Source organism: Homo sapiens, chromosome 15 (assembly GCF_000001405.40).
Source record: "Homo sapiens chromosome 15, GRCh38.p14 Primary Assembly".
Lineage (NCBI taxonomy): Eukaryota > Metazoa > Chordata > Mammalia > Primates > Hominidae > Homo > Homo sapiens.
In genome coordinates, this window is record NC_000015.10 from 77135650 (window position 1) to 77162099 (window position 26450).

Here is a 26450-nt window from a genome sequence, read left to right on the forward strand (position 1 = left end):
GTCAGCACAGGTCTTTCCCGTACTGTTCTCATGATAGAGAATAAGTCTCATGAGATCTGAGGGTTTTAAAAAGAGGAGTTCCCCTGCACACGTTCTCTCTCTTTGCCTGCTGCCATCCACATACGATGTGACTTGCTCCTCCTTGCTCTCTGCCATGATTGTGAGGCCTCCCCAGCCATGTGGAACTGTTAAGTCCAATAAATCTCTTTCTTTTGTAAATTGCCTGGTCTCGTGTATGTCTTTATCAGCAGTGTGAAAATGGACTAATACAGTAAATTGGTACCAGTAGAGTGGGGTGTTGCTGAAAAGATACCCGAAAATGTGGAAGCAACTTTGGAACTAGGTAGCAGGCAGAGGTTAGAACAGTGTGGAGGGCTCAGAAGAAGACAGGGAAATGTGGAAAAGTTTGCAGCTTCCTGGAGACTTGTTGAATGGCTTTGACAAAAGTGCTGATAGTGATATGAACAATAAGGTCCAGGCTGAGGTGGTCTCAGATGGAGATAAGGAACTCGTTGTGAACTGGAGCAAAGGTAACTCTTGTTATGTTTTAGCAAAGAGACTGGAGCAATTTGGCCCTGCCCTAGAGATTTGTGGAACTTTGAACTTGAGAGAGAAGACTTAGGGTATCTGGCAGAAGAATTTTCTAAGCAGCAAAGCATTCAAGAGGTGACCTAGGTGCTGTTAAAGGCATTCAGTTTTATAAGGGAAGCAGAGCATAAAAGTTCAGAAAATTTGGTTTGGCGCAGTGGCTCATGCCTGTAATCCCAGCACTTTGAGAGGCTGAGGCAGGTGGATCACTTGAGGTCAGGAGTTTGAGACCAGCCTGGCCAACATGGTGAAACCCTGTCTCTACTAAAAATACAAAAATTAGCCAGGTGTGGTGGCAGACACCTGTAGTCCCAGCTACTCAGGAGGGTGAGCCAGGAGAATCGCTTGAACCTCGGAGGTGGAGGTTGCAGTGAGCCGGGATCATGCCACTGTACTCCAGTATTGGTGACAGAGTGAGACCCCGTCTCCAAAAAAATAAATAAATAAAAATAAAAATAAAATAAAAATCAGAAAATTTGCAGCCTGTCAATGTGATAGAAAATAAAATACCATTTTTCTGAAGAGAAATTCAAGCTGGTTGCAGAAATTTGCAGAAACTTGCATAAGTAACGAGGAGCTGAAGGTTAATCCCCAAGACAATGGGAAATATTTCTCCAGGGCATGTCAACGGTCTTCACGGCAGACCCTCCCATCAGAGGCCCGAAGGCCTAGGAGAAAAAAGTAGTTTCGTGGGCCAGGCCCAGGGTCCCCTTGCTGTGTGCAGCCTAGGGACTTGGTGCCCTGTATCTTAACCACTCCAGCCATGGCTGAAAGGGGCCACTGTAGAGCTCAGGCTGTGGCTTCAGAGGGTGCAAGCCCCAAGCCTTGGCAGCTTCCATGTGGCGTTGAGCCTGTGAGTGCACAGAGGTCAAGAACTGGGGTTTGGGAACCTCTGCCTAGGTTTCAGAGGATGTATGAAAACACCTGGATGCTGAGGCAGAAGTTGGCTGCAGGGGTCGGGCCCTCATGGAGAACCTCTGCTAGGGCAGTGTGAAAGGGAAATGTGGGGTCGGAGCCCCCACACAGAGTCCCTACTGAGGCACTGCCTAGTGGAGCTGTGAGAAGAGGGCCACTGTCCTCCAGATCCCAGAATGGTAGATCCACTGACAGCTTGCACCATGTGTGTGGAAAAGCCACAGACACTCAATGCCAGCCCCTCAAAGCAGCTGGGAGGGAGGCTATACCCTGCAAAGCCACAGGGATGGAGCTGCCCAAGGCCATGGGAACCCATGTCTTGCATCATCATGACCCGGATGCAAGACATGGAATCAAGGGAGATCATTTGGGAACTTTAAGATTTGACTGCCCCGCTGGATTTCGGACTTGTGTGGGGCCTGTAGCCCCTTTGTTCTGGCCAATTTCTCCCATTTGGAATGGCTGTATTTACCCAATGACTGTACCTGCATTGTATCTAGGAAGTAATTAACTTGCTTTTGATTTTACAGGCTCATGGGTGGAAGGGACTTGCCTTGTCTCGGATGAGACTTTGGACTATGGACTTTTGAGTTAATGTTGAAATGAGTTAAGACTTTAGGGGACTGTTGGAAAGGCCTGATAGGTTTTGAAATGTGAGAACATGAGATCTGGGAGGGGCAAGGGGTGGAATGATATGGTTTGGCTGTGTCCCCACCCAAATTTCATCTTGAATTCCCACATGTTGTGGGAGGGACCTGGTGGGAGGTAACTGAATCATGGGGGCAGGTCTTCCCCATGCTGTTCTCATGATAGTGAGTAAGTCTCACAAGATCTGACGGTTTTAAAAAGAGGAGTTCCTCTGCATAAGCTCTCTCTTTGCCTGCTGCCATTCACATAAGATGTGACTTGCTCCTCCTTGCCTTCCACCATGATTGTGAGGCCTCCCCAGCCATGTGGAACTGTAAGTCCAATAAACCTCCTTCTTTTGTAAATTGCCCAGTCTTGGATATGACTTTATCAGCAGCGTGAAAATGGACTAACACACTACTTGTGTATCTAAATGTAGAAAAGGTACAGTAAAAATACAGTATAAAAGATAAAAAATGGTATGCTTGTATAGGGCACTTACCATGAAAGGAGCCTGCAGGACTGGAAGTAGCCCTGGGTGAGTCACCGAGTGAGTGGTGAGTGAATGTAAAGGCCTTGCATATTATTACCATACACTCCTGTAGACTTTATATATACTGTATACTTAGGCTATACTAAATTTATTTAAAAATTTTTCTCCAATAATAAATTAACCTTAGCTTACTTAACTTTTTAACTTTATAAGCTTAAATTTTGTTTAACTTTATAAATTTTGTTTAACTTTTATAATAACACTTAGCTTAAGATACACTGTACACTATTTCAAAATATTTTTTCTTTGGGCCAGGCACGGTGGCTTATGCCTATAATCCCAGCACTTTGGAAGGCCAAGGTGGGTGGACCACTTGAGGCCAGGAGTTTGAGACCAGCCTGGCCAACATGGAAACCGTGTCTGTACTAAAAATACAAAAATTAGCCAGGCATGGTGGCGCATGCCTATAGTCCCAGCTACTCAGGAGGCTGACGTAGGAGAATCATTTGAACCTGGGAGGCGGAGGTTGCAGTGAGCTGAGATCATACCACTGCACTCCAGCCTGGGTGACAGAGCGAGACTCTGTCTCAAAAAAAAAAAAAAAATTGTTTTTTCTTTGTGTCTTTATGCTACAAATCTTTCCCTATTTAAACAAAACTTTTTTTTTTATAAACTTTTTTGTTAAAAACGAAGACACAAACACACATATTACTAGTCCTAACCCCTGGTACATGTGAATGTGACCTTATTTGGAAATAAAGTCTTTGTAGATGTAATCAAGTTAAGATGAGGTCATTAGAGTGGGCCCTAATCCAGTATGACTGGTGTCCTTATAAGAAAAAGCACCATGTGAAGACAGGGACAATGATGACAAAGGCCTACACAGGGTCAAGAATATCAATATCACGGTCTTCCACCTCCACATCCTGTCCCAGTGGCAGGTCTTCAGGGGCAGTAACACACATGGAGCTGTCATCTCCTAAGATAACAATGCCTTCTTCTGGTATACCTCCTGAAGGACATGCCTGAGGCTGTTTTACAGTTTTTTAAAAAATAAGTAGGAGTACACTTTAAAGTTATGGTAATAGTACAGAAAATGCACAAACCAGTAACTCAGTAGTTTATCACCAAGTATTATGTACTATACATAATTGTATGTGCTATACTTTTATGACTGGCAGTGCAGTAGGTTTGTTTACACCAGCATCACCACAAACACGTGAGTAATGCCTTGCGCTGTGATGTCACAATGGCTATGTCACTAGGTAACAGGAGTTTTTCAGCTCCATCATAATCCTATGAGACCAGTGTTGTTTGTGCAGTCCATTGTTGACCAAAACATCATTATATAGCACATGACTATATCCATTTCCCATGCACACTACTTTCTTCAAGAATATCTAAGAATTTATATAAGCTACAGCAATATATATTGCAAACTCAAGGACCTCTTTTCTCCACCCATGTCATGTAGTAATATTTTTATAAGTAATAGAACAATATTAAATATAAACAAACAACAACACACATATATATACACATATAATATATATATAAATTGTGTCTATATGTATATATTTAGAGGGAGGGAGGGGGAGAGAGAGAGCAAGAGAGTAAGAGAAGAGAAAAAATATGAGAATGCTAAGCTTCAAGGCGGCCAGAGCTTTTGTTTTATTCACTGCTGTAATCTCTGTGCCAAGAACAAGGTCTAGATAGAATCAACAATAACAACTTCTTGAATGAAGGAATAAATATTTACTACTGAAAGACAGAAAGTAGTAAAATTGTATAGATATCTATAATAAGGAAAGAAATTGAATTAGTATTTTAAAAAATTCCCACAAAGAAAACCCAGGACCAGATGGCTTCACTGATGAATTCTACCAAATGTTTAAAGAAGTATTAATACCAATCCTTTGAAAACTTTTCCAAAAAATAGAACAGGAGGAAGGAATGCTTCCCAACTTGAATTCAATGGAGCCAATATTACCTAAATACTAAAACTAGACAAAGACATAAAAAGAAAACTAGAGACTGTCTTTTATGAATACAGATGTGAAAATCTACACAATATGCTAGCAAACCGAATCCAGCAACATATAAAAAAGGATTATACACCACAACAAGGTGGGATTTATTCCAGGAATGCAAGGTTGGTTTAACATCTGAAAATCAATCAATGTAATATACCATGCCAATGGAATAAAGGGGGAAAAAAGCTCACATAATCACCTTAATAGATGCAGAAAAAACATTTGATAAAACCAAACACCTTTCCATAATAATAATACTCAATGAACTAGAAACAGAAGAGAACATCCTCAACCTGACAAAGGAAAGGGCATCTTTGTAAAAGAGCTAACATCATACTTAATGATAAAAGACTGGAAATTTCTCCTGTAATATCAGGAACAAGACAAGGATTTGCGTTCTTGCCATTTCTTTTTTTTTCTTTTTCTTTGTGTCTTTTTTTTTTTTCCCAGACAGGGTCTTCCTTTGTCACCCAGGCTGGAGTGCAGTGGCACAATCTCGGCTCACTGCAGCCTTGACCTCCCAGGCTCAAGTGATCCTTCCACCTCAGTCCCCCAAGTAGCCAGGACTACTATTTTTCATAGAGACAGGGTTTTGCCATGTTGCTCAGGCTGGTCTCAAACTCCTGAGCTCAAGTGACCTGCCTGCCTTGGCCTCCCAAAGTGATGGGATTACAGGTGTGAGCCACTGCACCTCACCCATTTCTATTCTACGTTGTACAGGAGGTTCTAGTCAGGGATATTAGGAAAGAAAAAGAGATAAAGACATCCAGATTGTAAAGAGGAAAGTAAAACTATCTCATCATTCACAGATAATATAATCGTGTATATTGAGAAGCGTAGCGAATCCACACACAAAAAAACTATTAGAATGAATATACCAGTTCAGCAAGTTTACAGGATACAAGATCAACATACAAAAACCAATTCATTTCTATACATTATAAATGAATGATCCAAAATAAAATTAAGAAGACAATTCTATTTACAACACCATCAAAAAGGATAAAGTAACCAGAAATAAACCTAACAAAACTAGTGTAAGACTTGTACTTTGAAAACTATAAAACATCGCTGAAAGAAACTAAAAAGCAAATGGAAAGATATCTTATGCTCATGGATCAGAGACTTTATATTGTTAAAAGGGAAATATTCCCAAAATTGATCTACAGATTTAATGTAATCCCTATCAAAATTCCAGTTAGACTTCTTGCAGAAACTGGCAGGCTCATCCTAAAATTCATATGGAAATAGAAGAAACCTAGAGTGGTCAAAGTCTTTAAAAAGAATAAAGTTGGAAAAGTTACACTTTCCAACTCCAACTTATTACAAAATTATAGTAATCAAGAGTACGTGGTACTGGCGTAAGAATAGAAATATAGATGAATGAAATATATTTGAGAGCGCAGAAGTGAACACTTATATTTAAGGCCAACTGATTTTTGACAAGATTGCCAAAACAATTCAACAGGGAAAGAACAGTTTCAAGCAAAATAATGCTATTGAATCCCTACCTCACACTATACACAAAAATTAACTAAAAATGTATGAAAAATTTAAATATAAGAGCTAAAACTAAAAACTCTTAGAAAAAACGTAGGAATAAATCTTTGCAACCTTGGGTTAGGTAATGGTTTCTTAGATATGATACCTAAAGTATAAGTAACAAAAGAAAAAGTAGATTGGAAGTCAATAAAAATTATAAACTTTTATGCTTCAAAGGACATCTTTAAGAAAGTAAAAAAGACAACTCACAGAATGGGAGAAAATATGTTCAAATTACATATCTGATAAGAGACTTATATTCAGAATATATAAGGAACTCTTTTGAAAAAGATAAATAACCCAAGTAAAAATGGGTAAAAGATTTGCATAGCTATTTCTTCAAAGAAGATATATAAATGGCCAGTGTGTGTGGAAAGATGTTTGGCATCATCACTCATGAGGTAAATGCAAACTGAGACATCATTTCACATCTACTAGGTTAGCTGTAATAAAACACACAGGCAAGTGTTGGTGAGGATGTGGAGAAATTCAAATGCTTATACATTGCTAGTAGGAATCTAAAATGGTGCCACCATCTTGGAAAATATTTTGGTAGTTCCTCAAAAAGTTAAACATACAGTTACTATTTGACCCAGCATTTCGACTCCTGGGTATATACCCAAGACAACTGAAAACATGTCCACCAAAACTTTATATGCAAATGTTCATAAGCAGCAGCATTTATAATAGCCAAAAAGTAGAAACAAACCAGATGTCCATCACCTGATGAATGGATAAATTAAATGTGGTACACCCATACAATTGACTATTATTCAGGCATAAGAGGAGTGAAGTACTGATGTATGTATGCTAAAACATGGAAAAACCTTGAAAACATGGAAAAACCTTGAAAACATTATGCTAAGTGAGAGAAGTCAGTCAAAAATGACCACATATTATATGATTCCACTTATATGAAATTTCCAGAAATATATAAAGGCATAGAGACAGAAAGTAGATTAGCTGTTGTAAGGGGCTGGGGGAAGGGGAGAATGGACAGTGACTGCTAATGGGTTTCTGTTTGGGATGATGAAAATGCTCTGAAATTAGACATTAGTGATGCTTGCAAAATTCTGTGAATATACTAAAACTAACTGAATTGCACACTTTAGTAGGGTGAATTTTATGGAATATAAATTATATCTCAATAAAGAAAATCAACAATCCATTCTTAGAAACAACCATCAATTCAGTTTCCAGTCTTATCTTCTCATTCCTCTGTGCCCTTAACTAAGGATGTAGGGGCTTGGCATTTACTGAATGTTTCCTGTGATGGTGGGGTCTCCTTCCCAAAGCTGCCCCAGCCCTATTTTCTCTTGGCTAATGTGAGACGTCAGACCATGGTTTATTTACAAGACAACAGAAGTATGCTTTGTAATAAGTCCTAATTTTTCAGTTGCTTACCTAGACCTTTCAGAGATGAAGCACCACGGAGAAGGTTAGAAGCAGTGAATTGCACCAGCTGAGGCCCTATCATCCTTGCCTGACAACTGTGACAGTCTCCTATTATTGCTGTCTCCAGTTTTACCTCCCTCACCACACAAACCACTAGAGAGATGTTTTTCAAACGCCAAAGCATTTCATGACACTTCTCTGCTTTAAAAAATTCTGTCCTAAAGATCGTCTTCAAGCAAAGAAAGTGAGCCTTTCATGATCTGGCCCCGATATACCTGTTTCTCGTCGCATTTCCTCTTATATCCTAAGTCAGAGCCACCAAACTACTTGCGGTTTCTCCAGCACTCTTGGCCAATTTTACGCTTCCTTTGTGCTTTGTGTCTTTGCTCATGCTGATCCTCTTCCAGGAATAGTTTCCCACTCCTCTCATCTTTAAATATTCTGCTTCTAGGGAATATTTCTTACTCCACTCCCCAGAATTGACCTTTCTTGGGCCCTCAGATAGACCCTGTGAATATTTCTCTGTAAGCACTTACAACCCTTGACTTGTGTTCCATTCTGAATTCCCTACTGGTTTGCTCATTGAGGGAATGGACTGTGTCTCATTTGTGTACCCAAGACCAAGCAAAGAATCTGGGCTGAGAGCAGAATGGAATAAATAAGAAAACTAGAACATGAACCTATTCTTACCTATTCCAGTGTGGGCCCTGTAAGAAGCTTTATGGGCAGCCATGTTCTGCCCATTTCTCCAAATTAGAAGAAACAAAAATAATCACAGACATGAGAGAAATGGAGAATTCCAAAAGTACCTTTTTTTCTTTTATAACCTCAGAACTGACAAGGGAGAGAAGGTCTATCATCATCAGCAGCTCTTTAATGCTTATCAGAGGAGGTGAAGAACGGCTGATCGTGTGACTTTCTGCCAGCTAGAGAATGAAGTTCAAACTCCTCAGCAAGTTGGTCAAGGCTCTCTGTCTTATCTACCACTATTTCTCATCAACCCTTCCTATGAATCACTCATTTCCTGTTAATATGTTCCATATTTTTATTTTTACATTTTTGCCTTAGCAAGGGTGTCTGTCCTTGGCCTAGCTCAAATGGCACTTACCAAATGAAGCCTTCCCTACTCTCTACTCCTCCACCTCAAACTGGAAGCCACAGCTTCTTCCTCTGTGTTCTCTTAGCACTTTTTGCTTTACTAAAGCATTTTTAGCCTTTTATAAAGTGTGTGTTTTTACATCCCCTCAGAACCTGATGTGATGTAAGGCGCACAGCAGGTATGCAGTAAGTGGCTGCTGGACTGAGAGACAGAGTCAACAGAGTTGGTCATCAATTCAAAATGGAAATGGACAGCCAAGGTAGCAAGGAAATAAAGATAAGTAATGTGGCTTCTCTTCCCAAATAGCAGGATACGATCTCCTGGGAGCTAAGGAGATTTCCACATGAGAATCAGAAACTTATGCGTTCCAAATGAAACCACAAACATTCCACAGCCCATGCAAGTAGGTCAAGCCATTCTCCTAAGTCTAAAACTGGTTTGCGCTTTTAGTTTTTTTCCTCCAAGAAAGACAAGTTCTCCTAACTGAATTCCAATCATTTGGGTCAATGTTTTAAAAGCTTGGTATCTTAGCTGTTTTTATTTTAAACTTTTAATCCTGTACATTCCTGTCAAGCCCCTGGGACCAGACACCAAGCTCAGCTTTCAGCAGGCCTAATATAACATCACATACTCTACATTTTTGTGGCATACCAGTGTTCTAAACAGAAAAAAATAGATTGTGTTCTAAATCTTGCCTTGCTATATGCTAAAAACATTCTTTTGGACAAATATGTTTGACTAAACCACACTCAAAACTTACTTTTCTCTTTTTCTGAGCTTCCATAATCTACCTCTTTACTTTCTCCCCACTTAAAAATGTCTTCAGGCCAGGTGCGGTGGCTCATGCCTGTAATCCCAGCACTTCGGGAGGCCGAGGTGGGTGGATCGCCTGAGCTCAGAAGTTCGAGACCACCCTGGGCAACATGGTGAAACCCCATCTCCACTAAAATACAAAAAATTAGCTGGGGGTGGTGGCATGTGCCTGTAGTCCCAGATATTCGGGAGGTTGAGGCATGAGAATCGCTTGAACCTGGGAAGTGGAGGTTGCAGTGAGCCACCATCATGCCACTGCACTGCAGCTTGGGCTACAGAGTGAGATTCCATCTCAAAAAAAAAAAAATGTCTTCAGACTGACGGGCCCTATATCATGTTCTGGAAAGCAAACAAATGTTTGCTTATGACCTGGTAGGTAATCATTACAGTCTTAGGGTGCTAGGGATAAAGAACACTAACAATGACCCACTTGTGCAGGAGTAGCATGATTTCCTGGTTGATCTCTCTGCCTCCTGTCATCTCATAGGTAGCTCACAGAATCTTTTAAAAAATCCTGATTGTGCCTCTACTCAAAATTCTTCAGTGGCTCTCCATTTGCTACAAGTAAAAGATATGCCTTTTGTGACCCTCTTCCAGACTCCTCCAGGCAAAGGCTTTCATTAAACCTTTAAATATCTGCATCACAGCAACTATCATGGTCCTAAGAGTCCAGCCCCATGTCTATCTCTCCCAAAGATCAGAAGTCCTTGAAAAATACATTAGTATTCCCAGCACTTAGCCTGGTACCAGGGAGATAGTTGGTGTTCAACAAATGTTTGCTGAATAAAAGCATTAAAACCCAAATAAATAGAACTTATCTTCCTATTTAAACTATAATTTCAATCTTCGTCCCTAATTTTCTCCCCAGGGCTCAAAACAAGTAATACAGATGAGAAAGAGAAGGGAGAACAAAATAAGAGACCATCGCCTCCACTAGTGCATAGCGGGGAATACAAAGAGTTTATAAACCACACACCATCACTGTGCAGCAGCCTTGTCAAATGAATAGGGTATCTCATTGGCTGAACCTAGCGCTCAGTGCATCATCCCCCTCCAGCAGGCATCAGCAGCTTAGGAGGAAGGGGCCTAATCTACCTAGGCATTATTACTGTGCTGAGGCCTACCATAGTCAAATATAAGCAACAACTGGCAAATCACAGGGGATATCAACTTCATGCCAAACAATAAAACGAACCTGATTTCCAAAGAAAACTTTGGGTTTAGCCTCAAATAAACAGATATAAAGACCATTTTAAAGAATGTCAGTCGTATAGCAGCTGGCTGACTTAATTTTTGTAAGTCCTCATTAGTGGAAACCTCTCCAAAAACAGAGATTATTTTTTTGGGGGTAATTTATCTACATAATTTAAATACTGCACTCTCTCAACTAATTCTAGTATATGGAAAACTATTTTTAAATGGGAATGCAGCTAACTTCGGGACAGAGTGTATGATTTCTTTTTAAATAGAAATAATTACAATTTTAGGAAGTACAACTGCTCAAACAAATGTTCAAAGCTCTCAACCTCAGTTTTTTATTTTTTAAGCATCTAAATGAGCTAAAACTGTGCAATTCTTTAGCCATTGGTTCAAATCATTAGCTATGCAGTGTGTGGAATAATGTCTGCTCAATAATTATTTGTTGAGGAAATGAGTGAATGATAATGTAATCCTCAGCATAATTTTTTTTAAAAAGCTGGCATTTATAACAACATTATTCTATAATTACAACATCAAGGCCAGCAAGGTAATGACATTCTTTTAAGTATATCCACCCCGTAAAATTTAACACTAACAATCAATATTAATGCCAAAGGAAGTTCTGGAGACAGAAGACTTATGTGTTTTCTTTCAGTGTTTGAAGGATAAAGCCTAAAGGAGATGCTCAAAGTAAGTAAAATGAGAAAATGTGCAGTTTCTTGTGTTGATCTATAGAAAGGAAACAGAGGCATGGTTTACATAACTCCTTAATTAGGAAACCTATGGACGAAGCCTCATATTAGAAAAAGAAAAGCCAGCTGATTAATGGAGCACATAGACTTGAAATTTTCCTAGATGAACTTTCCTGAGCAGAGCCAGATTTTCCTAATCTGGTAATCTTCTAAAGTCAAATCCAAAAGTCATTTTTAGCTCGTTCACTCAAACACATTCTTAGTACCTACTGTGTGTTTTAGATAATGCTCTAGGATGTTGGGATGCAGAAAGAGGAACAAGCCAAAAATCGGTTGAATAAAGGGAGATATTATAGATCTTTCTAAAAAGGAATGTAGAAGATATGAGTACTTGATTACAAAGTGATTGAAGGAGCGCTATCTCATTACATGCTCCTGATTTTCGCAGTCTGATAAAGCAGTCAGATATGCCACATTAAAAAAACAGTGATCTCTGTCTATTTTGAGATAAACACAGAAACACAGGGAAAATGTTCAAGGTCTGATTCAAACAAATTTTATTACTTCTTTGGGGAATCATTTTGGGGGACAGACACCCTATAAAATTCAGCTTGGGGTCAGTTAAGGTGTTACAGATCAGAGTTCATTAAGTGATCTTATATGATCACCACCCAGAGTAAAATCATCATTCTGTGAGGGGCAACCTTCTTAAGTTGTCAAGTTGCATAAAGACCAATGTGATTTTTGTGCAACATAGAAGACAATATAAATCCCCCAAATAACACATTCTTTAAAGCAGAGCTGTTCAATAGAACTTTGTGTAACAATGGAAATGTTCTATATCTTCACTGTCTAATGCAGTAGCTACTATCTACATGCGGCTACTAGGCATTTGAAATGTTGTTAGTGAGACTGAGGAAGTGAATTTTTATTTTTATAAATTTATATTTAAGAAGCCATATATGCCTAGTGGTGACTGTATTGAATAATAATTCAGTTATGAACAAAATAAAGTTTGCATTATTTACATTCAGGACAACAAGAATGACATCTGAATTAATCCTGGAGGTAGATGCCTAAAGTAAAAAAGAAAAATATATGGGTTGCATAAATCAGGAGCTCTTTGTGGGAATGGTTCAATCACAACTCCTATTGCACCACAGTGGAAGTAATAAGATGGCTGAGAGGGTAGAGGACTCACGGGAGATTCTGAAGGAGGGTAATCAAGGCCTATTCCAGTTGAGTGTTTTTTTTAAATGGAGTTTTTTAAAACTATATAAGAAATGTGAGAATTACACAACAAATTGTCCATGTCCCTTTGTTTTGTTATAATTGGCAGATCTTAAGGAACTGGATCTGCACAGCTGTCACTATTTGTCACCTCTCCTCTGTTCCCTGTTAGCTACCTTGGGGATCCTGTAGTCTGTTTTTCATTTCACATCTTTGGTCATGAGTTGTGCAGGAAGCCCACAATATTTTAGATTTACATTTTGTTGTTCTGCTTATTTAAGCCATTTAGTAAGCATTTTAAATCCGTTCCACTTTACATTTTCTGGCTACCATATCTAACATATTTAAAGGAGAAGGAAGCCAGGTATGGTGGCTCACCCTTGTAATCCCAGTGCTTTGGGAGGCCAAGGTTGGAGGACTGCTTGAGGCCAGGAGTTTGAGACTAGCCTGGGCAACATAGGGAGACTCTATCTCTACAAAAAAAAAAAATTAAAAAATTAGCTGATCATGTGGTGCACGCCTGTAGACCCAGCTACTCGGGAGGCTGGGAAGGGAGGACTGCTTAAGCCCAGGAGTTTGAGGCTGCAGTGAGCTATGATAGCGCCACTGCACTCCAGCATGGGCGATAGAGCAAGACCCTGTCGCTAAGAAAATTTAAAATTTAAAGTATTTTTTTAAAAGGAAAAAGAAGAGTATATTTTTGGGGAGAAATAAAGGAATTCACAACTAGTAAGGACTTCTATGTACCAAGTACTTCTCTGCCACTAGCTCTATAAAGCAGATGTCACTATTCCTTCATTTTGGATGAGGAAATTGAAGCTCAGGGATGTTAAATAGCCAGCCCACAATCATGCAAGTGGGCAATGACACAGCTCTTATAGAAACCTAAATCCCATGGATCCGTCAAATCTATCTTTTTTCCTGCTATAGTACACTGCTTCCTAAACCTGCTTCACAATGTAATTTTCAGAAACAAATTCCACAGTAAAAATGATGGTAAGCCTTGAATTTTTCCCCCTTAGTTTCTTCCACATCTGTCAATCCATCCACTGCCTTATTAAAGAAACAAAGAAAAGAAAAAAGAGAAAGTGGTCTTTATGGACTGGTTCTGGAATATTTAAAAGGATCTAAAGCCATTGCGTTAGGAGGTTTTGCTGTCTTTTAGTTTTTAAACACACCATTTTTAAAAGTTATCAAGTCTTTAAATCATAAAACATTACTGAAAGGAGTAGTTTAAAACTGCATGCAAATGACTTGTTGAACGTATTAAAAAAGGAAATTTCCAAATGCCATCTAAAATACTTGTTTCATTAGGAAAAATAACAAAACAAAACCCCCTTAGCTTAGAACTATTGGAGTCAACTTTATTACCTTTCCAAAGAAGCAACCTTGTATCATAATGTATTATACCCTACAGAGTCAAGTATATAGACACTTGAGCACTTAAGGAAAACTGGACAATATCTTATTGGCATCACTTTTTTTTTTTTTAAGACAGTGTCTCCCTTTGTCACCCAGGCTGCAAAGCAGTGGTGCAATCTCAGTTCACTGTGTCCTTGACCTCCTGGGCTCAAGGATAATCTTAACTCAGCCTCCCAAGTAGCTGGGACCACAGGTACATGCCTCCACACTCGGCTAATTTTTGTTATTTTTTGTAGAGATGGGGTTTTGCCATGTTGCCTAGGCTAATCTTGAATTCCTGAGCTCAAGTGATCTGCCCACCTTGGCTTCCCAAAGTGCTGGGATTACAGGCATGAGCCACCGTGCCTGGCAGCATCACATACTTTTAAAAGGAAGGCAACAGGTAGAGAGAAAGCTATCTTTCTGATAGGGCATCTATAATCATTTTAAGTTTTTGAATGCAAAGTGATGATGTTTTTTTTAAGTCTTAAATTTTATGTCTGAAAGTACATGACTTCTTTTTTTAAAAAAAGGAAAACAGTAGGAGCCCTTCAGCATTTTACAAGAATTTAGTGATTAAGGACATTAAAGTCTAGTGGCTAAGATCGACTCGATTCCAGCTGGTTAAACTCCTACTGGTTCTGTGACTTTAGGAAAAGCACTCTGCCTCGCTTTCTTTATCTGAAAAATGGGGATAATAACTCTTAGGATGGTTGTGAGGATTAAATGAGCTAATATATGTTAGGCACTTAGAATATTCACAGAGGCAATGCTTTATTTTTTTTCTACCAGTCTTCATAACTGAGAATACAATGAAATAAAATAATTATTTATTTATTTTATTTTTATTACACTTTAAGTTTTAGGGTACATGTGCACAAAGTGCAGGTTTGTTACATATGTATACATGTGCCATGTTGGTGTGCTGCACCCATTAACTTGTCATTTAACATTAGGTATATCTCCTAATGCTATCCCTCCCCCCTCCCCCCACCCCACAACATTCCCCGGAGTGTGATGTTCCCCTTCCTGTGTCCATGTGTTCTCACTGGTCAATTCCCACCTATGAGTGAGAACATGTGGTGTTTGGTATTTTGTCCTTGCAATAGTTTGCTGAGAATGATGGTTTCCAATTTCATCCGTGTCCCTACAAAGGACATGAACTCATCATTTTTTATGGCTGCATAGTATTCCATGGTGTATATGTGCCACATTTTCTTAATCCAATCTATTGTTGTTGGACATTTGGGTTGGTTCCAAGTCTTTGCTATTGTGAATAATGCCGCAATAAACATACGTGTGCATGTGTCTTTATAGCAGCATGATTTATAATCCTTTGGGTATATACCCAGTAATGGGATGGCTGGGTCAAATGGTATTTCTAGTTCTAGATGCCTGAGGCATCGCCACACTGACTTCCACAATGGTTGAACTAGTTTACAGTCCCACCAACAGTGTAAAAGTGTTCCTGTTTCTCCACATCCTCTCCAGCACCTGTTGTTTCCTGACTTTTTAATGATCACCATTCTAACTGGTGTGAGATGGTATCTCATTGCAGTTTTGATTTGCATTTCTCTGATGGCCAGTGATGATGAGCATTTTTTCATGTGTCTTTTGGCTGCATAAATGTCTTCTTTTGAGAAGTGTCTGTTCATATCCTTTGCCCACTTTTTGATGGTGTTGTTTTCTTTCTTGTAAATTTGTTTGAGTTCATTGTAGATTCTGGATATTAGCCCTTTGTCAGATGAATAGATTGCAAAAATTTTCTCCCACTTTGTAGGTTGCCTGTTCACTCTGATGGTAGTTTCTTTTGCTGTGCAGAAGCTCTTTAGTTTAATTAGATCCCATTTGTCAATTTTGGCTTTTGCTGCCATTGCTTTTGGTGTTTTAGACATGAAGTCCTTACCCATGCCTATGTCCTGAATGGTATTGCCTAGGTTTTCTTCTAGGGTTTTTATGGTTTTAGGTCTAACATGTAAGTCTTTAATCCATCTTGAATTAATTTTTGTATAAGGTGTAAGGAAGGGATCCAGTTTCAGCTTTCTACATATGGCTAGCCAGTTTTCCCAGCACCATTTATTAAATAGGGAATCCTTTCACCATTGCTTGTTTTTGTCAGGTTTGTCAAAGATCGGATGGTTGTAGATATGTGGCGTTATTTCTGAGGGCTCTGTTCTGTTCCATTGATCTATATCTCTGTTTTGGTAACAGTACCATGCTGTTTTGGTTACTGTAGCCTTGTAGTAACCAAAAACCTTTGTTCTTTTGGCTTAGGATTGACTTGGCAATGCAGGCTCTTTTTTGGTTTCATATGAACTTTAAAGTAGTTTTTTCCAATTCTGTGAAGAAAGTCACTGGTAGCATGATAGGGATGGCATTGTACCTATAAATTACCTTGGGCAGTATGGCCATTTTCACGATATTGATTCTTCCCACCTATGAACATGTAATGTTCTTCCATTTGTTTGTATCCTCTTTTATTTCATTGAGCAGTGGTTTGTAGTTCTCCTTGAAGAGGTCCTTCACATCCCTTGTAAGTTGGATTCCTAGGTATTTTATTCTCTTTGAAGCAATTGTGAATGGGAGTTCACGCATGATTTGGCTCTCTGTTTGTCTGTTATTGGTGTATAAGAATGCTTGTGATTTTTGTACATTGATTTTGTATCCTGAGACTTTGCTGAAGTTGCTTATCAGCTTAAGGAGATTTTGGGCTGAGACGATGGGGTTTTCTAGATATACAATCATGTCATCTGCAAACAGGGACAATTTGACTTCCTCTTTTCCTAATTGAATACCCTTTATTTCCTTCTCCTCCCTGATTGCCCTGGCCAGAACTTCCAACACTATGTTGAATAGGAGCGGTGAGAGAGGGCATCCCTGTCTTGTGCCAGTTTTCAAAGGGAATGCTTCCAGTTTTTGCTCATTCAGTATGATATTGGCTGTGGGTTTGTCATAGATAGCTCTTATTATTTTGAGATTTGTCCCATCAATACCTCATTTATTGAGAGTTTTTAGCATGAAGGGTTGTTGAATTTTGTCAAAGGCCTTTTCTGTATCTATTGAGATAATCATGTGGTTTTTGTCTTTGGTTCTGTTTATATGCTGGATTACATTTATTGATTTGCGAATGTTGAACCAGCCTTGCATCCCAGGGATGAAGCCCACTTGATCATGGTGGATAAGCTTTTTGATGTGCTGCTGGATTCGGTTTGCCAGTATTTTATTGAGGATTTTTGCATCAATGTTCATCAAGGATATTGGTCTAAAATTCTGTTTTTTGGTTGTGTCTCTGCCAGGCTTTGGTATCAGGATGATGCTGGCCTCATAAAATGAGTTAGGGAGGATTCCCTCTTTTTCTATTGATTGGAATAGTTTCAGAAGGAATGGTACCAGCTCCTCCTTGTACCTCTGGTAGAATTCGGCTGTGAATCCATCTGGTCCTGGACTTTTTTTGGTTAGTAAGCTATTGATTATTGCCACAATTTCAGAGCCTGTTATTGGTCTATTCAGAGATTCAACTTCTTCCTGGTTTAGTCTTGGATGGGTGTATGTGTCGAGGAATTTATCCATTTCTTCTAGGTTTTCCAGTTTATTTGTGTAGAGGTGTCTGTAGTATTCTCTGATGGTAGTTTGCATTTCTGTGGGATCGGTGGTGATATCCCCTTTATCATTTTTTATTGCATCTCTCTGAATCTTCTCTCTTCTTTATTAGTCTTGCTAGCGGTCTATCAATTTTGTTGATCTTTTCAAAAAAACAGTTCCTGGATTCATTGATTTTTTGAAGGGTTTTTTGTGTCTCTATTTCCTTCACTTCTGCTCTGATTTTAGTTATTTCTTGCCTTCTGCTAGCTTTTGAATGTGTTTGCTCTTGCTTTTCTAGTTCTCTTAATTGTGATGTTAGGGTGTCAATTTTAGATCTTTCCTGCTTTCTCTTGTGGGCATTTAGTGCTATAAATTTCCCTCTATGCACTGCTTTGAATGTGTCCCAGAGATTCTGGTATGTTGTGTCTTTGTTCTCATTGGTTTCAAAGAACATCTTTATTTCCGCCTTCATTTCATTATGTACCCAGTAGTCATTCAGGAGCAGGTTGTTCAGTTTCCATGCAGTTGAGCGGTTTTGAGTGAATTTCTTAATCCTGAGTTCTAGTTTGATTGCACCGTGGCCTGAGAGACAGTTTGTTATAATTTCTGTTCTTTTACATTTGCTGAGGACTGCTTTACTTCCAACTATGTGGTCAGTTTTGGAATAGGTGTGGTGTGGTGCTGAAAAAAATGTATATTCTGTTGATTTGGGGTGGAGAGTTCTGTAGATGTCTATTAGGTCCACTTGGTGCAGAGCTGAGTTCAATTCCTGGGTATCCCTGTTAACTTTCTGTCTCGTTGATCTGTCTAATGTTGACAGTGGGGTGTTAAAGTCTCCCATTATTATTGTGTGGGAGTCTAAGTCTCTTTGTAGGTCACTAAGGACTTGCTTTATGAATCTGGGTGCTCCTGTATTGGGTGCATATATATTTAGGATAGTTAGTTCTTATTTTTCAATTGATCCCTTTACCATTATGTAATGGCCTTCTTTGTCTCTTTTAATCTTTGTTGGTTTAAAGTCTGTTTCATCAGAGACTAGGATTGCAACCCCTGCCTTTTTTTGTTTTCCATTTGCTTGGTAGATCTTCCTCCATCCCTTTATTTTGAGCCTATGTGTGTCTCTGCATGTGAGATGGGTTTCCTGAATACAGCACACTGATGGGTCTTGACTCTTTATCCAATTTGCCAGTCTGTGTCTTTTAATTGGAGCATTTAGCCCATTTATATTTAAAGTTAATATTGTTATGTGTGAATTTGATCCTGTCATTATGATGTTAGCTGGTTATTTTGCTCGTTAGTTGATGCAGTTTCTTCCTAGCCTTGATGGTCTTTACATTTTGGCATGTTTTTGCAGTGGCTGGAACTGGTTGTTCCTTTCCATGTTTAGTGCTTCCTTCAGGAGCTCTTTCAGGGCAGGCCTGGTGGTGACAAAATCTCTCAGCATTTGCTTGTCTGTAAAGTATTTTATTTCTCCTTCACTTATGAAGCTTAGTTTGGCTGGATATGAAATTGTGGGTTGAAAATTCTTTTCTTTAAGAATGTTGAATATTGGCCCCCACTCTCTTCTGGCTTGTAGAGTTTCTGCCAAGAGATCAGCTGTTAGTCTGATGGGCTTCCCTTTGTGGGTAACCCGACCTTTCTCTCTGGCTGCCCTTAACATTTTTTCCTTCATTTCAACTTTGGTGAATCTGACAATTATGTGTCTTGGAGTTGCTCTTCTCGAGGAGTATCTGTGGCGTTCTCTGTATTTCCCGAATCTGAATGTTGGCCTGCCTTGCTAGATTGGGGAACTTCTCCTGGATAATATCCTGCAGAGTGTTTTCCAGCTTGGTTCCATTCTCCCTGTCACTTTCAGGTACACCAATCAGACGCAGATTTGGTCTTTTCACATAGTCCCATATTTCTTGGAGGCTTTGTTCATTTCTTTTTATTCTTTTTTTCTCTAAACTTCCCTTCTCGCCTCATTTCATTCATTTCATCTTCCATCACTGATACCCTTTCTTCCAGTTGATCGCATCGGCTCCTGAGGCGTCTGCATTCTTCACATAGTTCTCGAGTCTTAGCTTTCAGCTCCATCAGCTCCTTTAAGGACTTCTCTGCATTGGTTATTCTAGTTATCCATTCGTCTAATTTTTTTTCAAAGTTTCTAACTTCTTTGCCATTGGTTAGAATTTCCTCCTGTAGCTCAGAGTAGTTTGATCGTCTGAAGCCTTCTTCTCTCAACTCGTCAAAGTCATTCTCCATCCAGCTTTGTTCCGTTGCTGGTGAGGCACTGTGTTCCTTTGGAGGAGGAGAGTGCTCTGCTTTTTAGAGTTTCCAGTTTTTCTGCTCTGTTTTTTCCCCATCTTTGTGGTTTTATCTACTTTTGGTCTTTGATGATGGTGACGTATAGATGAGTTTTTGGTGTGGATGTCCTTTCTGTTTGTTGGTTTTCCTTCTAACAGACAGGACCCTCAGCTGCAGGTCTGTTGGAGTTTGCTAGAGGTCCACTCTAGACCCTTTTTGCCTGGGTGTCAGCAGCGGTGGCTGCAGAACAGCGGTGGCTGTAGAACAGTGGATTTTGGTGACCTGCAAATGCTGCTGCCTGATCGTTCCTCTGGAAGTTTTGTCTCAGAGGAGTACTCGGCCATGTGAGGTGTCAGTCTGCCCCTACTGGGGGATGCCTCCCAGTTAGGCTGCTCGGGGGTCAGGGACCCACTTGAGGAGGCAGTCTGCCCGTTCTCAGATCTCCAGCTGCGTGCTGGGAGAACCACTACTCTCCTCAAAGCTGTCAGACAGGGACATTTAAGTCTGCAGAGGTTACTGCTGTCCTTTTGTTTGTCTGTGCCCTGCCCCCAGAGGTGGAGCCTACAGAGGCAGGCAGGCCCCCTTGAGCTGTGGTGGGCTCCACCCAGTTCGAGCTTCCGGGCTGCTTTGTTTACCTAATCAAGCCTGGGCAACGGCAGGCGCCCCTCCCCCAGCCTCGGTGCTGCATTGCAGTTTGATCTCAGACTGCTGTGCTAGCAATCAGTGAGACTCCGTGAGCATAGGACCCTCTGAGCCAGTTGCGGGATATAATCTCCTGGTGTGCCGTTTTTTAAGCCCGTTGGAAAAGCACAGTATTAGGGTGGGAGTGACCCGGTTTTCCAGGTGTCGTCTGTCACCCCTTTCTTTGACTAGGAAAGGGAACTCCCTGACCCCTTGCGCTTCCCGAGTGAGGTAGTGCCTCGCCCTGCTTCAGCTCGCGCACGGTGTGCTGCACCCACTGTCCTGCACCCACTGTCTGGCACTCCCTAGTGAGATGAACCCGGTACCTCAGATGGAAATGCAGAAATCACCCGTCTTCTGCGTTGCTCATGCTGGGAGCTGTAGACCGGAGCTGTTCCTATTCGGCCATCTTGGCTCCCGAAATAAAATAATTTTAACTAATGTCAGCTAATAAAAATTTATAGAGATGCCATCAAACATGGTACAATTAGTAAAAATTAAATATTTTACTGAGGCTATCATGAAAGAAATTTTGGTTTAATAAGAATGTCTAGAAGATATTATAATTTCTGATATATTATGCTGTCTGAGGGTATACAGTAAGTAAACAGTACATTTTCATTTTATAATATGCCTCACAAAATATCAAATAATGGGAAAAGTCCAATAAGCTGTTTGATGATAAAATCTGTTCCAAGTTGAAAACGGTATCCAAGATAGTAGTTTAGGTAAACTATAGTATGTTTCCCCTACTCCCAAATCACAAAAAGCTTCTGGAACTTAGAATGGAAGTCTTCTTCTTACACAATGTATTTTCAACTGCATATGGGTTGTTATGATTGTGTTTCCCAAAAAGAGATATTAAAGTATTATCTCCCACAGTGTTACCATAATTTTCTGGCCTTCTTAGGGACTCCTTTATTTCCAAGTACACTAGCTAGTGTTAGAATTATTTTTCCTTAGAATAACCTGACAAAGGAAAAGGACAAAGAAGAAAGGAGATGAGAAATGAGGTAAAAAAACTTCAATGATAGATGCCACTGGTTTCCAAACAGTCTAAGGATTGGTCAGTAGTTCATATGAATCTTGCTTGTGCTCTGCATGTAGTAGTCCAGGCTACTCACCTCTCTCCTGACTTCATGGAAGAAGAGCACTGAGAAATCCTTATTCTGCCTCAGGCTTTGCTTTTCAGAAGGAAGGAAAGTGTGTGGCACTCAAGGGAGACAGGTAAGAAGTCACTGAGCATTCAAGGAAGACGAGTGAAGATGATCAGAGAATTGCAGAATCTTTGCATTGGCAGGCACCTCTGAAGTAATTTAGCTCAACCCTCTTTGCAGTGCAGCATCCTCCTCACAATATCTCTGAGAGATGGTCCATCAGCCTCTGCCTATATACCTCCAATAACAGGGATCTTTACTTTTTTGAGTCTGCTTGATCCAAGCCAGAAATCTGGGATACATTATAGATTCTTTACATTATCCAATCTTGTGTATTTTTCGTCTTAAATATCTCTCAAATCTGTCTACTGTCCCCCCTCCCACTATCTTAGTTGAGGCCTCCCTTTCTCATGCCTTTGTGTGATCCTGCAATAGTATCTAACTACCAAATTTCCTGCTACCAAATAATCCACATACACATGGCAGCCTGCAGGATGGATGTTTTAAAAAACAAATCTAATTGTGTTATTCCTCTGCTTAAAAACCTTTGATGGCTCACTAACATAAACAGCAAAAAGTCTAAGGTTTTAGCCTGAAATGCATGACACTGGCTAACTCTCCACTTCACATTTCAGCAACACTAAATGTTTGTGGTGCCTACATGCATCTCCATGATTTTGCTCATATTGTTGTCTCTGATTGGAATATTCTTTCTCCCCTTTGTCAGCTAGTTAAATCAGTTCAGGAATTATCTCCAGAAAGGTATCTTTTGACACCCTCCTCTGTGTAATATTAAAAATATACCATGTGTATATCTCTATCACTGTATTTATATTACACTGAAATAATTAACAAGTTCACCTCTTTCCCCCCAGGTGAGTCCCTCAAAGCAGTGTTAATAACCCTTAGCACTTGGCACAGGGCTCATGGGTGCAGGTGTTTAATACATGCCTAGTAAACATCAGAACGTTTTTCTGATGTGACTTAAAATTTGTAACTCCAATGGTCCAAATTCTGCTTCATGGAGCAATAAAAACCATCTCTCCAAGAAAACAGAACATTTGGCTAGTACAGAAAAAGGCAAAGTTTAAATACTACTTATTGGACATTTGCACTTACCTAAGTTGCTGTATGTTGCACTACAAGGGTTCGGGTCCATAGGATCTGAAATGTCTTCTTTTCCATCTTCCCTTTCCAGTTCAGGTAGGGACAATGCTGTTGTGACTGAAGTGCAGCCCCTGCCATCTTGCTTCCCAACAACAGTTCTTGGATCCCGAGGAGAAAAATCCTCTGTTACTTCATGGGTCATGTGACTGAAACAAATCAGACCACTTGTCACACTGGTATTGGAAGGTTCTACTAAAATTTAGATTTATGGAAGGCATATACTTCCCATAAATGTAAATAACTGGTCCTATAGTCACAATACACTTGTCTGAACACAAGGCAGTACTTCATTTAGGCAGATACTTCTATTTACCTTGATTCACACATATTGAGAACCCAATTTGATAGAGCAGGTATGGTAGCCTGCAAGGGAACTTGAGAATAACAGTCAAAGAGTGAAACATTTTATTTAGGTGGGAGGTGGTGATGTTGGTGGTAGAAGGAGCTGAATGTTTAACTGGCTAAAGACAAATATACTCAAGTATTTAGTAAAGTATTTACTATACTTACTAATTATAGTATTCTAATACTATGGTAAATATCAAGTACTTTACTACATAGTTTTAATTTATATATAGTATTTAGTACACACTTTAGTGTGTACTAAATCAGGATCAGGAATAAAGTTGAGATTAAACTAACTGCATAAGGAAGTTAAGCCATTGTTTTAGTAGGTACACTGAGGCCAGGAAGGTCTTGTTGCCAAGAGAATAGAAGCATCAACCTTTGCCTGTCTGCATGCAGCAGGGAAGGCAAATGGAAAAGAAAGTTCGTAGTCTAGTTAATCTCATTTATTAAAATGAATCTGAAGCATCCTCCTGGCTGCATACCAGTATATGACCAATCTTGTTTTACCATTGCCTGCTCATATGCTTATAGCTACTTCTTCCCATCTTCCCCACTCCCCAATCTGCCTGAACTGTGCCAATTCTGTTGCTGGTGGAGAAAACTGGCCTAGTTAGAAAATCTCAATGGACTGGTCAATTAAATTAATTCAAAATCATGCATCTTTAAAGTTTGCTGGGCCCACTGAAAAGTATTCCTAGATTATCACACATTCATTAGCTATTTTTCCTGGTTTCTTTATGAAAAAAAGAAAGAAGGAAGGAAAGGAAACATATATGATTACAGGTTATTTGTGGATTTTCAATTGGCAGTGAGTCATGGTGACATTTACCAGTTTCTTTAAAGAGGTACTTTGTTTGATCGTGTGCCATCAGAACATATATCGCCTGTGGATTTAAGGGAGTAGATCTAAAGGCAAAGGAGTACCCTCTTATCAATTTTTCATTATGGAAATTATGCATGTGCCTGGACAGAAAAATAAGCCTTGATGTCTGCTGGATATACAACTTCAAAAATATCCTTTCAAAGTTGGCAGAGCCAGAGGTCTCTCTATACTGGGAATAAGCAATGAGCTGGAAGTTCCATTAGGGGATCTGGCTCTTGAGGACAGTGGTGAGGTTGGAAGGAATCACTTTTCTAGCAGTCAAGAGAGTAGTATATATAAAGGAGGCCTCACACAGTAAAGCATACTGCCTCTTCTCGATGGGCTGCCCTCGGTCATCAACCCAAAAGAGGGGCTCCACACAAAGTTGGTTTCTCATAATATGGAGCACCATAAAATCAAGATAACATGGGGGATCTATCTCCACGCATTAGGGAAGACAAAACAAAGTGACACTTCCAAGACACTCAGGTACCACTTCGTGTCAAGAGTGTATATTACTGAGTAGTTATCAACATGCTTCAAGAAAGGGAAAATGTTTTCTGGCAAAAGTTAATAGAAACCATTTCTAGTTTCAAAGCAATAAATATAAAGTCCCTTAAAAATATCAGCCCCCTGGCCAGGTTCAGTGGCTCGCACCTGTAATCCCAGCACTTTGGGAGGCTGAGGCGGGCGGATCACGAGGTCAAGAGATGGAGACCATCCTGGCCAACATGGTGAAGCCCTGTCTCTACTAAAAACACAAAAATTAGCTGGGCATGGTGGTGCACGCCTGTAGTTTCAGCTACTGGGGAGGCTGAGGCAGGAGAATCTCTTGAACCTGGGAGGTAGAGGTTGCAGTGAGCCGAGATCGTGCCACTGCGCTCCAGCCTAGCAACAGAGTGAGACTCTGTCTCAAAACAAAATCAGCCCCCACACTTGAAAGAAAAAAAAATGTTAAAGCTCCAGACATTTCCTGCTCTAAAGTCAGCTTTAGAGGTTTCCTGAATAGCTGTTTCTTGGCTCCTAATCTCTTCAGACTTACTCCTGCCTTCTTTCTTTCTCCATCTCCTGGTTATTACTAAAAGAAAGTGTTCCTTCCCATTTGTCAAAAAGGGTTGGTGAAGGGTTCAGAAGCCACGATTCCATCCTCACTTGCCTGTTTTCATCCTAGGCAATGGGCTATTAACAACAAAGCTCAGTTATAGTGAAAACCACAGAAAAAACTGCAGCTATTAACCTATGAGGAACTCCCTGGGCCCGCTGCACATGTGTACATATAACACAGCTCTGTACTCTGAAGAGCTTCACAAAATAAAACATGAATACTTAAAAGCAAGAAATATTAGAAAACTCACCCGCTGTGCTCACTAACACAATTCCCCATTAAAGGAAAATTTCACAGGGCCTTCTCGAGTCTGTTAATCATGCTCTGACACTCAGATAAACCATAGATTCCACTGAGTTCTGGAGAGCTACAAGTTAGGCAAACCATGAGAAAAGGCTTGATTCTGTTCCTTAATATCACTCACTGCACCTTGACCCTTACCTTACTGGTTTGGTCTGGGAAATGTGCCAAATTACCTTTGGGGAACCAAGCAAAGTGAAAGCTAGTTTTATTAACCCTTTGCAAACTAAGGCAGCACAGCCTATATTCCAGATAAAGATTGGTTTTTATGAGCACATTTTAAATAAGTGCACTGGTATATTAAATCATCAATTAAAGTAATTGTCAACTCTAAAGAACTACGCAAATAGAGTTGATAAAAGTAAAATCACATGGATTTGCAAATGGATGCTAAAAGGTTTAATCTGCATTTACAGTGACAGCAGTCTCTAAAAGGAGTAAGAATTTAAAAAATGCATCAGTGATATGTCATGTCTTAATGCTTAAAGGAAGAATAGCTCTTTGTATGATTAAAATGATAAAAGAGGCCAGGCGCAGTGGCTCATGCCTGTAATCCCAGCACTTTGGGAGGCCAAGTGGATCACAAGGTCAGGAGTTCAACACCAGCCTGGCCAAGATGGTGAAACCCCGTCTCTACTAAAAATACAAAAATTAGCCGGGTGTGGTGGCAGGTGCCTATAATCCCAGCTACTCGGGAGGCTGAGGCAGGACAATTGCTTGAACTCAGGGGGCAGAGGTTGCAGTGAGCAGAGATCATGCCACTGCACTCCAGCCTGGGTGACAGAGTGAGACTCTGTCTCAAAAAAAAAAAAAAAAAAAGATAAAAGAGAGACAGGGGAAAAGGGAGAGGTTCTCAGAGTTTAAGGTTAGATATAACAATATACTATGACTAAAAAATAAAAAAAATTGAGAAAAGTAGCAGAGAAGGTTGATT

General features: G+C 39.9%; 1 protein-coding gene across 34 annotated transcripts in view, besides 3 other annotated features; it reads right to left on the minus strand.

Annotated features, from left to right (window-relative positions):
* PEAK1 (pseudopodium enriched atypical kinase 1) overlaps positions 1-26450 on the minus strand; it is a 320261-nt gene that overhangs the window by 34996 nt on the left and 258815 nt on the right. For 33 of the 34 annotated variants that reach the window (XM_047433077.1, XM_047433076.1, XM_047433057.1 and 30 more), the window contains one exon: positions 22854-23047. In XM_047433077.1, coding sequence (XP_047289033.1) covers positions 22854-23047 — 194 coding nt within the window. Of the gene's footprint in view, positions 1-22853; positions 23048-25466; positions 25629-26450 lie in introns of those variants that run through there. The other variant, XM_011522042.3, reaches the window with a different exon arrangement.
* Positions 1451-2001: an enhancer, noted in NCBI's record as "H3K27ac-H3K4me1 hESC enhancer chr15:77429442-77429992 (GRCh37/hg19 assembly coordinates)". NCBI's record gives its function as "activates a minimal SCP1, AML or CMV promoter by ChIP-STARR-seq in naive H9 embryonic stem cells {active_cell/tissue: H9 hESC(naive)}" and the evidence as "EXISTENCE:reporter gene assay evidence [ECO:0000049][PMID:30033119]".
* Positions 20048-20549: an enhancer, noted in NCBI's record as "NANOG-H3K4me1 hESC enhancer chr15:77448039-77448540 (GRCh37/hg19 assembly coordinates)". NCBI's record gives its function as "activates a minimal SCP1, AML or CMV promoter by ChIP-STARR-seq in naive and primed H9 embryonic stem cells {active_cell/tissue: H9 hESC(naive and primed)}" and the evidence as "EXISTENCE:reporter gene assay evidence [ECO:0000049][PMID:30033119]".
* Positions 20550-21049: an enhancer, noted in NCBI's record as "NANOG-H3K4me1 hESC enhancer chr15:77448541-77449040 (GRCh37/hg19 assembly coordinates)". NCBI's record gives its function as "activates a minimal SCP1, AML or CMV promoter by ChIP-STARR-seq in naive and primed H9 embryonic stem cells {active_cell/tissue: H9 hESC(naive and primed)}" and the evidence as "EXISTENCE:reporter gene assay evidence [ECO:0000049][PMID:30033119]".